We start from the raw sequence: 17,569 nt of genomic DNA on the forward strand, positions 1-17,569 counted from the left end.
GGACTTCTAGCCTCAATTGCTGTGAGAAAACAAATTTCTGTTGTTTAGGCTACGTAGTCTGTGATATTTTATAGTGATGGCCCCGTTAAACAAATGCACACTCTAACCTCCACAGTCTTCCCAAACCGACTTATCCTATTGTATATTTACCCAGAGTATTTATCATCTACTGACATGCATTTTAATTTACTGGCTTAGTATGTGTATTATCTGACTCCCCACTACATGAGGCTAAGATCTTTTGTTTATGGATGTATCCAAAGTTTGCAGAAGAGGACCTAGCAAAGGATAGGTACTTAATGAATACCTGTTGGATAATTGAATCCTAGCAATGCATTCATCTCTTATATCCCCTGCCTTTGTTTCTTGGCTCTTCCTGAGGTCCAATCCCCAACTCCACACCCATGGCCAGTGAAACCCACCTCAAATATTAACAATGCTAAGAATGTATCTCTTGCCACCAACACTCTGTGCTCTTTCTCTTTGGAGTCTAGTAATACACTATCTGTTTTTCTCTTGTGGTGCTTAATACATTCAAGCCTGTATTGAATTTTCTATATATACGCATATCTCAGAGATATTGCAGGTTCCATTATAGAACACAGCAATAAAGTGAATATCACATTAAAGTGAGTCATACAAATTTCTTGGCTTCCCAGTGCACGTAAAAGTTTTGTTTACACTGTACTGTAGTCTATGAAGTGTGTTATTGCATTATGTCTAAAAAATGGACATACCTTAAATTAAAATACTCTATTGCTAAAAAATGCTAACTATCATCTGAGCCTTCAGTGAGAAGTAATTTTTTGCTCATGGAGGGTCTTGCCTCTATGCTGACAAATGCTGACTGATCAGGACGGTGGCTGCTGAAGTTTGAGGTGTCTAGTGTAATTCTTAAATAAGACAACAATGAAGTTTGTCATATTGATTGACTCTTTCATCAAGGACTTAACTGAAGCATCTGATGCTGTTTGATAACATTTTACCCACAAGATAACTTTTTTCAAAATTAAAGTCAATCCTCTCAAACACTACTGCTGTTTATTGACTAAGTTTATGTAACAGTCTAAATTCTTTGTTGTCATTCCAGCATTGTTCACAGCATCTTCATGAGGAGTAGACTCCTTTCAAGAAACCACTTTCTTTACTCACCCATAAGAAGCAACTCTTCATCCATTTAAGTTTGTTCTTTAGATGGCAGCAATTCAGTCACATCTCCATGATCCATTTCTAATCCTCGTTTTCTTGCTATTTCCATCACATCTCCAGCAACTTCCTCCACTGAAGGCTTGAACCTCTCAAAGTCACCCATGAATGTTAGAATGAACTTCTCCCAAATGTTGATGTTTTGACTTCCTGTCATGAATCATGAATGTTCTTAATGGCATCTAGAATGGTGAAACCTTTCCAGAAGGTTTTCAATTTACTTTTCCCAGATCATCAGAGGAATCACTATCTATGACAGTTATAGCCTTATGAAAAGTGCTTCTTCAGTAATAAGACTTGGAAGTCAAAATTACTGTTTGATCCATGGGCTGCAGAATGGATGTTGTGTTAGCAGGCATGAAAATAACATTAATCTCTTTGTCTATCTCCATCAGAGCTCTTGAATGACTAGGCGCATTGTCAATGAGCAGTAACATTTTGAAAGTAATCATTTTTTCTAAGCAGTAGGTGTCAACACTGGGCTTAAAATATACAGTAAACCATGATATAAACAGACATGATGTCATCCAGGTTTGGTTGTTCCATTATTGAGCAGAGACAGAGTAGATTTAGCATAATTATTAAGGGCCCTGGGATTTTTACAATGATAAAGAAGCATTTGCTGCAACTTAAAGTCATAAGCTGCATTAGTCCCTAAAAAGAGAGTCAGTCTCCCCTTTGAAGCTTTGGAGCCAGGCATTGAATTCTTCTCTCTACTTATAAATGTCCTAGATGGCATCTTCTTCCAATATAAATCTTTTTCTTTATTTTTATTTTTTGATACAGGGTCTTACTTTGTCACCCAGGTGGGGTGCAGTGGCATGATCATAGCTCCCTGCAGCCTTGATCTCCCTAGCTCATGCAACCCTCCCACCTCAGCCTCCTAAGGAGCTGGGACTACGTACAGTCTCGAGTAGCTGGGACAACGTGCGTGCACCACCATGCCAGGCTAATTTTAATTTTTTTTTTTTTTTTAAAGACAAGGCCTCACTATGTTGATCAGGCTGGTCTCAAATTCCTGGGCTCAAGTATTCCTCCTGCCTTGGCCTCCCAAAGTGTTGGGATTACAGGCATGAGCCACCGTGCCCAGCCAGGGGCTTCTTCATCTACACTGAAAATTTGGTTTTCAGAGGAACAACATTTATCAATGATCTTAGCTGGATCTTCTGAATAAGCTGCTGCGGCTTCTACATCGGCACTTGCTCTTTAACCTTGCACTTTTGTGGTATGGATATGGCTTCTTCATGAACCAACCTCTGCTAGCTTCAAACTTTCTTCTGCAGCTTCCCTATTTCTCTCAGCATTCATAGAATTGAAGAGAGTTAGAGCCTGTATTAGACCATTCTTGCATTGCTGTAAAGAAATACCTGAGACTGGATAAATTACAAAGAAAAAAGGTTTCATTGGCTCACCGTTCTGCAGGCTGTACAGGAAGCACAGCAGCATCTGCTTCTGGGGAGGCCTCAGAAAGCTTCCACTCATGGCAGAAGGCAAAGGGAGCAGACACATGACAGAGCAAAAGCAGAAGTAAGAGAGAGTGAGGGAGGGGAATGCCACACTTTTTTTTTTATTTTTATTTATTTATTTTTTTTGAGACAGAGCCTCACTCTTTCACCCAGGCTGAAGTGTAGTGGTACGGCCTTGGCTCATCACAACCTCTGCCTCTTGGGTTCAAGTGATTCACCTACCTCAGCTTACTGAGTGTCTGGGATTATAGGCATGCACTATCATGCCCAGCTAATTTTTTTTGTAATTTTAGTAGAGACAGGGTTTCACCATGTTAGCCAGGCTGGTCTCGAACTCCTGACCTCAAGTGATTATGTCCATGTCAGCCTTCCAAAGCGCTGAGATTACCTGCGTGAGCCACCACGCCCAGCCAATGCCATACACTTTCAAATGACCAGCTATTGCAAAAACCCACACACTATTGTGAGAACAGTACCAAGGGGATGGTGCTAACCCATTCCTGAGAAATCCACCCCATAATCCAATTTTCTCCCACCTCCAACACTGGGGATTGTAACTCGACATAAGATTTGGGCAGGGACACATATCCAAACTGTATCAGAGACTTCCTCTGGATTAGGCTTTGGCTTAAGGGGGAGTTGTGGCAGGTTTGATCTTTTACCCGGACCACTAAAACATTCTTTATATCAGCAATAAAGCTGTTTCACTTTCTTACTATTCATGTCTTCACTAGAATAGCAATATTAATTTCCTACTAGAACTTTTCCTTTGCTGTGACAACTTAACTAACAGTTTGACATGAGATTTCAGCTATTTTGGCTTTGGACATGCCCTCCTCATTAAGCTTGATTATTTCTAGCTTTTGATTTAAAAGTGAGAGATGTGTGACTCTTCCTTTCCCTTGAACACTTAGAGGCCATTAAAAAGTTATTAATTGAACTAATTGTAATACTGTTGTATCTCAGGAAATAGGGAGGCCCAAGGAGAAGAAAAGACATGGGGAATAGCTGGTCAGTGTAGCAGTCAGAACACACACAACATTTATTGATTACGTTCACTGTCTCATATAGGTATGGTTGGTGGCACTCCAAAACACTTACGATAGTAACCTCAAAGATCATCATAAAAGATATAATGATAATGAAAAACTATGAAATATTGCAACGATCATAATGTGACTCAGAAACATGAAGTGAACATGTGTTTTTGGAAGAATGGCGCTGATAGTATTGCAAAAGGCAGGGTTGCCATGAAACTTCAATTTGTAAAAAATGCAGTATCTGAGAAGTGCAATAAAGCAAAGAACAATACGATGAGGCATGCCTGTATGTTTTATATTCTCCACTAAATGTCAAGCTCCTTTATGGTGCAGCTATTGCCTCATGCATCTTAAAATCCCTTACCATACCTTCTGAATGTGCCACACATATTAAAGACACAACAGACCTTAGCTGAAATTAGGAAAATTATTACAATAAAAACACTTGTTACTGAACAATTACACATTGTGTCAGGCTCTATTTTAAGTCTTCATGTCACTTGCCTTTACTAACAAAAATCTCATGAAGGTCGGACTATCATTATCTCAAATTTATTGATAAGGTCACTGAACCTAACATAAGTAACTTGCCCGAGATCATACGACTAATGATTGGTGAAGCCAGATTTTTTTTTTTTTTTTTTTTTTTTTTTTTTTTTTTTTTTGAGACAGAGTCTCACTCTGTCACCCAGGGCTGGAGTGCAGTGGCATGGTCTCAGCTCACTGCAAGCTCCACCTCCCGGGTTCACGCCATTCTCCTGCCTCAGCCTCCCAAATAGCTGGGACTACAGGCGCCCGCCACCACGCCTGGCTAATTTTTTGTATCTTTTAGTAGAGATGAGGTGGTGAAGCCAGATTTTAAGCACAGACCTATTGTTCTACAGATATCAGATATCAGGATCTATAGTATACTGTCTTGCCAGTTAAAAAACAATGCTTACTTTAAAGAAGATCATGTCGTTTGTGGGAACACAGATGAAGCTGGAGGTCATTATCCTTAGCAAACTAACGCAGGAACAGAAAACCAAATACCTGTGGTGCATACACATTGTCCCAGTTACTCGAGACTGTACGTGTTCTCACTTCTAAGTGGGAGCTAAATGATAAGAATTCATGAACACGAAGAGGGGAACAACAGATACTGGGGCCTGCTTGAGGGAGGAGGGTGGGAGGAGGGAGAGGAGCAGAAAAAATAACTATTGGGTACTAGGTTTACTATCTGGCTGCTGAAATTCCATAAAACAAACCCTAGTGACACTAGTTTACTTATATAACACATGTACCTCCAAACCTAAAATAAAAGTTAAAAAAAATAAATCTGTAAAGCACATAAAAAATGCTTACTTTAAAATAAAAATACTGCTATCATGTTAAATGAAATAAAAGGAAGCAGCATGTACCTGAATTCTTATGCGTTTTAGAAGCTGGAATGGACTGATTTCACATTTCCCATGACTACTTTTCTTATTCTAAATTCTGAGAGGGTAGTCTTTGTGCATTGGTCAAATTGATATACCTACTGAAATTTTAAAATTCATATTTCATAATAAAATTCTTCTCTACATCTTATTTCACTGGTAATACTTGAAGATTTAAAACATAAAATAATAAAATGTATTAAATATGGTTGTCTTTCCTAAAACTAGGACTTTAACATCTACGCAAATCTGTTATGCTTTTATAATATTTCATAAATAATTTAAAGAATGAGTAGGTTGTTAATATTGGCTTGTGAAGTAACTAATTTCTACATGTTATTGTAGTTTAAAAATTTTTTTACTATACTTTATATCCTAGGAAAAAGCCAAGATTAATAGTTAATCTTATTTTTGGTGAAAAAAACAAACTTTTTAAAATTATTATTATACTTTAAGTTCTAGGGTACATGTGCACAACGTGCAGGTTTGTTACATATGTATACATGTGCCATGTTGGTGTGCTGCACCCATTAACTCGTCATTTACATTAGGTATATCTGCTAATGCTATCCCTCCCCTCTCCCCCGACCCCATGACAGGCCCCAGTGTGTGATGTTCCCCACCCTGTGTCCACTATGTTCTCACTCATAGGTGGGAATTGAACAATAAAAACAAACTTAATTACAAATTTTTTGAAAATTAAGGAGTTTAGACTCAAAAAGTGTTAGCAAGAATACATATTGCACATATTTGTATAATATACAAGTCATCTGACATTTTTGGGTAGGAAATATCTTTTGGTAGGAGAGTAATAAAGCATAATTAAGTAAAACCCTTTAAGTATATTAATGTATAATTTTATCATTTATGAAGGAAGTCTTTGAGTCATATGTTCTACCTAATTTTGAACATTTTAAAATCAATAGAAAGTGAACACATTTTAACATTTTCTAAGGAATTTAAAATAATTGCATAATGTTTTACATAATACACTACACCGATTTATAAGTATCTGAAACAGGACTTAGTGCTGTTTGAATGAGTACTGATTCCAGCCACTGTCCTTACAAATGCTGGCTTGTAAAAGTACTCAGCAGAACCTTGAATTGGGATCACTTTATTTTTCCAATGAGGAAACTGATATCATGGGGGGAATATAAACTTGTCCAAGGTCACCTGCTAAGACGTGATGGTGCAAAGATAAAAGTTCAAGTCATTTTCTTTGCCAGGTCTAAGTGTTTCTACCCCACCAAGCCACCACCTGAGGCACTTGTCACAATGTAAGGTTGTGAGAGCAATGTGCTTGTGGAATGGGAGAGTAATAATCAGTACGTGGACCAATTAGCTGTTATGACCTTAGTAAAATCACTTGAATAACTCAGGTCCAGTTGTCTCTTCCGAAAATAAAGAAAGGAGACCAAATGATTTTTAAGATCCATTGAGATGTAACGTGTCTATGATCCAAGAATATATTCTGACACAAAAAATTCGTTTATATGAGTGACATGATAAACACAATGTTGTCTATATTGTTGCCATTGTGTTAAGGACTTGTACCACTTTGAGTGCAAACAAGTTTCTCAACCTTCTAAGTTCAGGGATTGTGCTTTTACTTGAAGATAGGCTAGGAGGGCATCATTGGAAGGAACATTTGCATGTATTTGGGAACATACCCAGCACTTGGCTGTATAGTTTCCCTTGGGGGAATTCAGTAGACACAGCATAAAACTGATCTTTAAAGTTCTAAAAGCTTTTTATAGAACTGGCTTCCTAGTTCTTTAAAGCCTTTTGACTTTTGTTTGGCTCAGGGAATTACAAGATGATTAGGAAATTCTTTTTGTATCTCCCATCATAAAACAGGCTCTATGTATCTTAACATGTTATAGAACAGGAATGTGACTGATTTGGTAGGCATTAAGTCTCTTATCCTAATCTGGTGGTCTTGAAAAATAAAAATCTTCCCATTGTAGAGGTAATAATATTGAGCTCGGAAGATTTACTACTTTCTCCAGGAGAAGAAAACTGCAGCTAGAGAACAGATCAACTTAAAGCCTGGTAATACTTTACTCAAAGCATGGTAATATGTTTTTTTGTGTGTGTAAAATCTCTAAAATGATAGTACAGCCAAGGCGGTATCTGTTTCCAGTAATTTTACCGTATTTGAAGATGGGAAGAACCTATAAATTTCTAATATTAATTTATTAGTTTATCTTATAGAGATATAACTATGTATTTTTTATTTTAAAAACATTAAAATTCAACTATTATACATATACTATGTTCCCCGTAGAAAAATGAGAAAATACAAATACATTGACATTTATACATAAATCAACCATAAGATGTATGACTTTTTAAATAAATGAGCAAATATACAGGACCTACCCCATTTAAAAATGTGTACAGTTAGAGAGAATTCACACTTCCAAAGCTCTCAATCATCTATAACCATTTTTTATGATTGGAAGAAGTACCAGGTAGAGATAGAACAGAACCATAACACAGATTAGAATGAGCAGCTGAAGTAGCCAAGATCAGAAGTGATTAGGTCAAATGGTATTTCTAGTATCCCATTACTGGGTATATACCCAAATGACTATAAATCATGCTGCTATAAAGACACATGCACACGTATGTTTATTGCGGCATTATTCACAATAGCAAAGACTTGGAACCAACCCAAATGTCCAACAATGATAGACTGGATTAAGAAAATGTGGCACATATACACCATGGAATACTATGCAGCCATAAAAAATGATGAGTTCATGTCGTTTGTAGGGACATGGATGAAATTGGAAATCATCATTCTCAGTAAACTATCGCAAGAACAAAAAACCAAACACCGCATATTCTCACTCATAGGTGGGAATTGAACAATGAGATCACATGGACACAGGAAGGGGAATATCACACTCTGGGGACTGTGGTGGGGTGGGGGGAGGGGGGAGGGATAGCATTGGGAGATATACCTAATGCTAGATGACGCGTTAGTGGGTGCAGCGCACCAGCATGGCACATGTATACATATGTAACTAACCTGCACAATGTGCACATATACCCTAAAACTTAAAGTATAAAAAAAAAAAAAAAAGAAGTGATTAGGAAGTCACAATTCTACCAACCTGGGAAAAGATACGCAAAGAAATAGGCAGGAGATGGTGTAGCTTTGTCCCCTTAAAAGCACTGGTGTTGTTCAATTTTGTAGCACTTCCAATGACTATGTAATGAACATTGACTGTGCACCAGTATGGTCTAGGCACTGGATTACGATAATAAACAACAAAAAACCCATAATTATTTTAAAAAGTTTATATTCCACTTTTACAGACATTTGTAAATATTCTATGTTATTTTAGGTAGTGGTAATTTTTATGGAGAAAACTACAATGCCTCCCAGCTTGTGTGGGACAGTTTGGATTTGTGCCTGTTTTCCTGCTGTGATGATTAAGATTGCCTCTTTTTACTCTCAAAAATGTCCTAGTTTTGGTGACCCTCTCTGTAAAAGAAATTTCAAAACAATGATAATATGAAAATATGTATGGGAGGGGTTCTTTTGGACTGGATGATCAGGAAATGTCTCACTAGGTGATATCTGAGCTGAGAATTAAAGTAATCACACAGCTCTTAAGGGTGAATTTGAATTTGAGAGGGGAAAACTGTGTAGTCAAACAAAGACGTAGTTTAGATTCTGACAAACCTGATTTTATACCTCAGCCCCAGCACACCCTAGGTTTGGTACTTTGGGCTTGGCTCCCTGTGAGATACTCAATAGTATACCTTAAGTCTAATAATGTGATTCAGAAATGAACACATTAAATTACATGGGCAAAGAAACTTATATTTATTTATGATATCCTCTCACAATACCATAAAGAAATAATCTATATTTTAAAGCAACTACTGTGCAGTACACACTGTGTTTGGGTACAGCTGGTTAATTAAGTATTACCGGTTGAGTATCCCTAATCCAAAAATATGAAATCCAAACTGCTCCAAAATCTGAGCCTTTCTGAATGCTCAATGGACACTCAAAGAAAATGCTCAGTGGAGCACTTTGGATTTCAGATTTTCAAATTAGGAATGCTGAACCAGTATATATTCTGCAAATATTCCACAATCCAGAAGAGTCCAAAAACCAAAACACTGCTGATCCAAGCATTTCAATGATGAGATACTGAACCAGGTTTTCTGTCTTTTAGAAGATACTGATCTACCTGAGATAAAACTTGAACACCTGAATCTGTTCAATATACAGGGTTGACTAGTAATTAAATGCTGAACAATATGGGACAGACAACTTGTACTATCAGAGCTCAAAAAGAAAATAAATCAATATACATTACAGAATGAAGCAGGGTTCCAAGGAAAGAAAATAGGATCTGAACAGGTGTTTAATTGATAAAATGCAATATTTCCTACCTGACCACTCAAAAAGCCATGGAAATTTGCTCCAGGCAGACAACAGGACCCTCTGTTGGGCTTGGCCAGTGGTTTCTGCAGCAATCGGGTTGTCTGGACCATTTAGCTTTTTAGCAAAACTTCCTGTTCCTACAAATAATCCCACTAATCCTCTCTCTCCCCAGCTGCTTCCTTGCCTTTCCTGCTTGGCTCCCCTCTCATAAGCCTCTTTCTTTCTAATTTTTTCAGAGGAACATATTTTACAGTCCCGTTGCTTCACCTACCTTGCCCATTGTCCTTGCCTAAAATTGTCCTTGACTGAAATAGTAAGAGATAGTTTTCCTCTGCTTTTTGAAATCTTAGCATATGTTGGTTGGTTGAGTTAACTGCTTCATATTTATTTGCTGTACTGGCAGGTTGACAGGGCAACTGGGAATCATGAAGAAATAGTTCAGCAGAACCACGAGACTCAGCTCTTAACAAGCACTTAATAAATGTTGGTTGAATGAATAAATGGCTATTGTAGTTATTGAAAACTAATACAATTAAAGGCAAGTGAGTTTAAAAATCACAGTCATTTATATAGGTACCTTTCTATTTATTCCTAATTACCAGGAAGCATAATAATGATTAGGTATTTCAATTATTTTTAGTGAAAATTTAATTTGAATAAAACTAATAGAACATCCTATAGATAACAGATCAGTAATAGCGACAAATTTGTTAAACGTGTGCCAGCAACAGAAATAATTGTACAAAGATCCCCATTTTACAGATGCGATGACCCAGCTTAGAGGGGTCATCTAATTGGTCTTCCCAATTGTGAGGTTAGGAATTAAAAGCTGGAATTCCAACACAGCTCTATGCTGTGCTGTTGCCTCTCAGAAAGATGGCTGGGGGTTGAGCAGAGAGAATAGCTCTCCTGGAACACATTTTCAGAATATAAACTTTTTCAGTTATGATGTAATATATTTATATTATTGTCATTAAGACTATGATGAAAAGACATTAGAGGAAGCAAAACAAAGCCTGATAGTTCAGATATGAGATAAGTAAAGAAGGGTGTCAAATGACGAAATGCTTTTTATGATGATATAGAACGATGAAATGCTCCCTTATGCCAAACCTTGGCACAGTACTTCTATGCCCACCCTGGCCACTGATTCAGTCCTACTCTCATATTTGTTCTTCCTGAAGTTGGAAAATAATGATTCACTGGCCATCCTCAGACATTATTACATGTTGATCTACTGCAGGGTTTTATTCACCCTCCTTTAAAAACATAAAGTGAACATTAGCCCCAAATAAAGAACACCTTGAGACATCCTGATGTCACTGCTATATCTCTATTAGGAAGGAGAAATAAATAACGTTAAGCATAGAGCCATATTTTGTAGGGACTTGCTAAAAACTGATTTGTTGGTAAAACTAGTTTATATTGCAAATATACATATATATGTATATATATACATATATTATATATATATTTTATATTATATATATATATATACACACACACATACGTAAATATACACATCAACGATGATCTCTGTCATGGTCAGTTGGACTTTTCTTCCACAGTTAAGGGAAGCTCCTCAGATCTTACCTTCCCAAGCCCACAAATGTATCCCAATACTGGAAAAACAGTGTTGGAAAGAAAATAAACTTCATCCAAGAAAAGATGTTGATATGGTTTGGATGTTTTGTCCCCTCCAAATCTCATGTTGAAATGTGATCCCAGTGTTGGAGGTGGTGGCTAGTGGGAGTTGTTTGGATCATGGGGCTAGATCCCTCATGAATGGCTTGGTGCCCTCCCCAGTGTAATGAGTTACTGACAGATCTGATTGTTAAAAAGAATCTGGGACCTCCTCTCCTCTTGCTTCCTGTCTTGCCATGTGACACATCTGCTCGCCTTTCACTTTCCACCATGATTGTAAGCTTCCTGAGGCCTCACCAGAAGCCAAGAAGATACTGGTGCAATACTTGTACAGCCTGCAGAACCGTATGTCAAGTAAATATTTTTTCTTTATAAATTACCCAGCCTCAGGTATTCCTTTACAGCAATGCAAAACAGAGTAACACAGCCATCAATGTGCCTAACAAACACAAACCATAGCCGTATCTCACTGAGTTGTAATAACATCTTCCCATAATAACAAACATCACATTATTTTCAAATATCATTTAATTTAGCTGATTATAATGACATTCTCTCAGAATACAGAGTCAGTTTGTTTGAATGTATAGGTTTACTTTACTTCTGGAATGTAAAAAAACATACAGAGAAATATTTGAGAGAAGTTTTACTGTCAAAGTAAAAGATAAACAATGATAGCAAACGATGTGGTAGAATGATAGGAACCTCTGCATGACCCACAGATATGATTAGCTTGCTCATGCCACTTTCAATATCTTTTGAGGGGAAGCAACATGACCACTGTGAGTAATTTTAAATAAAAAAGCCCAGTCAGTGGTAATACCAGTGGTGAGTGAATATAAAATAATCAATACTGCTATGAACATATTTCTCCTGCTTAGAGTAGCTTTCCCGCAGGTTCCTAGGATGGGGTCAGACAATGGAAGCAGTAGCAGAAACTCTGAAAGTAGGAGGAAAATGAGACCAGCATTTTTTTCTTCCCTGAGCTTTCTTCCTAACAGGCCTCTGTGGGTAGGCTATATTCCTGTACTCAAGGCCACCACTCTGTCTGGAAGCTTTCTAGACACAGGTTTCCTCTCCAGGCTCTGGAAATGGTTCCTATCTCTTGCCTCTTCAATAGTTTACTGTTACCAGCTGGAGCATACACATTACCCCTTATTGCTCCAATATAGAGTCACTTTATCAAATTCTTTTCTGGAGTGTAAGATCTCATTCCTGCCAGAAACAGAACTGATACAGATCACAATCGATGTATAATATCCTCGGTAGTCTTTGTCTTGTATTGTGAAACTTAAACGTTTCTTTAAGTACTTAAACGAGGCACTGATGTGTAAGTGCTGAAGTTTCTGGTAAGAAAGCTCTGATTACCTTTAGCAAGAGGGGCAAACGCAGCTCTTTTTTTTTTTTTTTTTTTTTTTCTTGAGACAGAGTCTCACCCTGTTGCCCAGGCTGGAGTGCAATGGCGCCATCTTGGCCACTGCAACCTCCGCTTCCAGAATTCAAGTGATTCTCCTGCTTCAGCCTCCTGAGTAGCTGGGACTACAGGCACCCGCCACCATGCGCAGCTAACTTCTTGTATCTTTAGTAGAGATGGGGTTTCACCACATTGGTCAGGCTAGCCTCAAACTCCTGACCTGGTGATCCACCCACCTCAGCCTCCCAAAGTGCCGGGATTACAGGCGTGATCCACCGCACCAGGCCAAATGCAACTCTTTCTATGAACATGAGCTCCTCCCTTTAGACCTCGTGAAACATGTTGATTAATTTAGCCAACCAGTCAACAAGTGAGTTTTAAGAGTTTACCACGTCTAAGACTGTGAGATCAGACCACTTACTACTTTAAAGTTATGACAATGATAAAAACAGTCTTCTTTGGGAAAGAGGCTTTAACCCTGCAAGCTTACCTACTATGCTAATTATAGGAAAAAGAACATAATTTGCAATGTAATAAAACATTAACATGCAAATTTCTTTCTGAAATTAAAGAAGGCAACCAGTAATCTGTATATATAAGTGTTTTGTTTGTTTAAATCAGAGATCATGTAATCAGATTTGGCAGAAATGGCAGATTATAAGAAGATTAAGCAAGACCATGAATTCCCCACAAACGTCCCTTTAATCCTGATTATAAAGTTAAACAGGACAAAATAATTATCCTGATAAAGTTGAAAATGTAAACTCTGTTGGGAAAAGTAACACAGTGCCATAAATTCATTGGCAGTCAAGTGTAAACATCATTTTTCTTTGCTTTCTTTTAGCTTCAGAATAGGTTTCAATGGAAGAAAGAGCAAAAGAAAACAGTGTAACATGGTGGTATTTTATATGCATTTGAATAATAAAAATTTTACATGATGCTTTAAGAAATATAATCTTGTTTTATCAGCAAAATTTGAAAGAATAGATTAAAAAGTTGAAAAAAAATAAATCAGCAATAGCATAATTTCAGAGCATGCGGGCCAAGAGAATATAAACTGTGTATTTGACTGCCACATGTCAGGGCCACTTGAACTGGGAAATAGAAAATCCTGTCATTTTTTTTTTTTTTTTTTTTTTTGCCAAGATTCAACTTGAATTTTGCTAGTGTTTATTTATGTGAGGTCTTTAGGGGTACTTCCTTTGTGTGAGATGTGTCTGCCCTATGTGTAAATGTGGCTGGGCTGGGGGATGAGAGAGTACATAGGAGAGAGAGGTTGGAAATATGATTCTGTGTTCTATCATCTCCAGGGAGAAAGAAGAGAACAGAAAATGGAAGGGCACACAGCCAGAAACAAACTTTGTTCAAGTCTCCGATTTTGCTTAGGATCACCTCTTCCAGACAGAGTGGTGGCCTTGAGTACAGGAATATAGCCTACCCACAGAGGCCTGTTAGGAAGAAAGCTCAGGGAAGAAAAAAATGCTGGTCTCATTTTCCTCCTACTTTCAGAGTTTCTGCTTCTCTTCAGACTTCAAAAATGTAGTATAAAAAATATTTAAAATATTTAAGGCTGGGCACGGTGGCTCATGCCTATAATCCCAGCACTTTGGGAGGCTGAGGTGGGTGGATCACTTGAGGTCAGGAGTTCAAGACCAGCCTGGCCAACATGGCGAAACCTCGTCTCTAGTAAAAATACAAAAATTAGCAGAGCTTGGTGGAGAGCGCCTGTAATCCCAGCTACTCGGGAGGCTGAGGCAGAGAGAATTGATTAAAACCCAGGAGGTGGAGGTTGCAGTGAGCTGAGATCGCACCACTGCACTCCAGCCTGGGTGATAGAGCAAGACTCCGTCTCAAAAATAAATAAATAAATAAATAAGTCTTTATATGACTAGCCTGTGGTGGCTTGACCCACAATAACTTCAGTGATGTCAATTTTAAGGCTGGAAACCACTCAAAGAAAACTTGTGAAACAAATGGACAAATGTGCATCATCTCTCCCTCTCATCCGTTAATCTAAAGCTCTCTACTTGATGGAATGATGAATTCTTACCTCCTGCTTTTAATAATATAATTTCACAAAATTTGAAATACTTTAACACACTAGTTAAACAATTCAGTGTTTCACAGAATTTTTGGGTTTAAATTGCTTTTGCTTCCCTTAGGTGGAGAATTGAACTTGGACATGCCTATAACTTTCAGACCTGAAGCCTGAAACAGAGCTCCAGGCAATATTCACCTCACACGTATATTTGGGGAATTCTTGATAATGGAAAAATGTGTTCAGGTCTTGATTTTTCAAGAAAACAATGTACAGAATATTGAAAAATGTCAAAACAACCTTCAAATAAGTACCCTAAAACATGACAATATTAAATTTCACACATAAAGAAGAAACAGTTCAAAACATGATATCTGCAATAACATTCATCCTTCTCAATGGGGCAGCATTCATATGATAGGGTGTTGTATGGGTTCCTATCATACACAAATAGAAGTGTCGTATTCTTGGAGCAATCCTAAGACCTATCTCCATTTATTTAGGTGTACAAGAATATATTGGGTAGCATGAGCCCCATCTAGAATTGAATATGATATGGTACATCAAGAGGCAGATCTCAAGCTGAGAAGAAAATAGGAAAATTGATCCTACAGTGAACTGAGGCCATTAACTTGTAATATTTGCATATGGATTTCTGTGATTTGCTATACATAACAAATAAACTTTTAAAAAGCATATGTTTTTATGATAAATACAGACATTATATATGTTTGTAAAATACACTCTTTGAGAAGTGATCTGCCATGATAAAAAATATGTAGGAAGTTTCAGGGAAAATAGATGTATCTTATTTTAGCTGGACAAATCTTTACTTTTGAATCTGTACTCTCTAAAAAAATTATTTTAGAAATCAAATTAAATTTTTAATTTGTAAGCAATCCTAGACACTGCCACAACTTACATGAAAAGCTCTCACAAAAGGAAATTGCTTTTCTGTAACTTGTGATAACACTAATAAGACAAATTGAAGGAAAGTTTGTATCCACAAAAATTTCTTTGCACTTCCAATATTCTATGTTTGTATAAATGGCCCATTGTGGTATCAAATGAGAAGCAGCTGCCAAAAATAAAATTATATATTTTGGAATTAACTTGTTTTCAAATGTAAAACAAAATCACCGTTTCCTCAGATAACACGATTGACCAAAAAAAAAAAAAAAATAAAAATAAATAAATAAATAAAGGGCTTTTTGGTAAAAAGAAAAAAAATCACCCAAGACATGTTCGTGTTGTTTTAAATTTTTGATAACTACAAAGATACATGCTGATTGCTCAGGATACAATTAGCAGCTGCCTGCATATCCAACCTTAAAGGAAATTTTTTAAGCTAGTTCAACTCTGTTTCCTACTTCTTCATTAATTACTAGCTAAGGGACTTGAAAGTGTCCTAATGAATTTTACATTAGACTCTGTAATATGAATGGTGTATATTATCACAGCATCTAGTAAATGCATAAATTGGCTTTTCCAAGTCGCATTTTGAGTAGTTGTAAAGATTCTGGCTGGATATCACAAAATTTAGTATTAGAGACTGAGCCGAAAAGAATTTTTACAAGAAACAGGTTGCTGCAATCACATTTCTCAGGTCATAAATCTATGTTACTACTTTATGATAATCTGTCGGTCCTTGTTCTCAAAGTTCAAAGATGCTGTGCTTCTTCTTTTTTTTTTTCCTCCTGTGGTTCAAAAAGAAGAAAGCAATCCCACTTACAGTGATTTCCAAATACGCATTGAATAAAGCTTAAAATACTACTGCTATACCAGCTTTCCATAATTTCCATATTATAAAGTACCATCCAGTGATAAAGTACCAACCACAGTGTTTTGGATTTAATACTTATGGTTTACAGTTTCCCAACCACTTACCATTTTCGTAAAATTCTTTGAAATCAAAAGTTTAAGAAAACTATTCAACAAACAGAATGAGCTAGACAGGCAGAAAACTGTACCTAAATCCAGTCAGAAACAGACAGAACCTTAGGATTGCCCTATCAGAGAGGAAAGGACAGACAACCATGGAAACCTCATGGAAAGCTTTCTTTTATAAAATATTTCTCTAATTTCATAGCAAGGTAAAAGATCACCTCTTGCTCATTTTCAAATGTGACATGATACCATAAATGGCACATCATCCTTACTTGAATGTTTAAAGCTAATATGCAGGTAATGTCAAAGTCATAGTGATGGGACTAAACATTTGTAATCTAAAGGTGAAGACTGCGTGAGAAACACCACAGAGCTCCGAGTTGGCAAAAGTCAGATACAGACTCTCAATGATTATTCCTTAAAGAATATCCAAAGTCACCACAATTCACATTACCTAAAGATTAAAATGCGGATATTAACAGGAAATTAACATTAGGATGTTAACAATCCTCTTAATATCTATTAATATTTGATGATGCTCTCTAAAATCATTTGATTGTCAGTTACTCTCTTAAAATGGTTTTCCCTTATTACACTAACATAATTGTATATGCAGTTTAGTTAATTATCGCCAAGACTTTACTTTCTTAGGTAAAATGTTGCTCAAATTCATCTCTCAGCTTTATATCAGCACAAGATCACCTCTTGCTCATTGTCAAATGTGACACGATATCATAAATGGCACATCATCCTTACATCATCCTTACTTACAGTGTGTGAGTTTCTTTACTCTTTTTTTCTCTTTATTTAGATTAAAGAAAACAAATATAGGTCAGTATTTGAAAAATAAAGCTCACAACAGTTCTTTATGACCAGAATCAAAGTGTGTGTCCTGTTAACCAAGATTTGTCTCTCAGAAGTTTGATGATCTGTTAAAAAATATATATATTATCAGTGTCAAGTATTTTAGTCCCACCTGTCACTAATTTAATGACGGCATTGCCTAGGAATTTCATGAGCAACAAAACTGTTGATTTAGCCT

General features: G+C 36.8%; 1 protein-coding gene across 5 annotated transcripts in view; it reads right to left on the reverse strand.

The window, feature by feature from the left end:
• KCNIP4 (potassium voltage-gated channel interacting protein 4) overlaps positions 1-17,569 on the reverse strand; it is a 1,220,167-nt gene that overhangs the window by 950,503 nt on the left and 252,095 nt on the right. The window lies entirely within an intron of this gene.

This window comes from Homo sapiens, chromosome 4, assembly GCF_000001405.40.
Source record: "Homo sapiens chromosome 4, GRCh38.p14 Primary Assembly".
Lineage (NCBI taxonomy): Eukaryota > Metazoa > Chordata > Mammalia > Primates > Hominidae > Homo > Homo sapiens.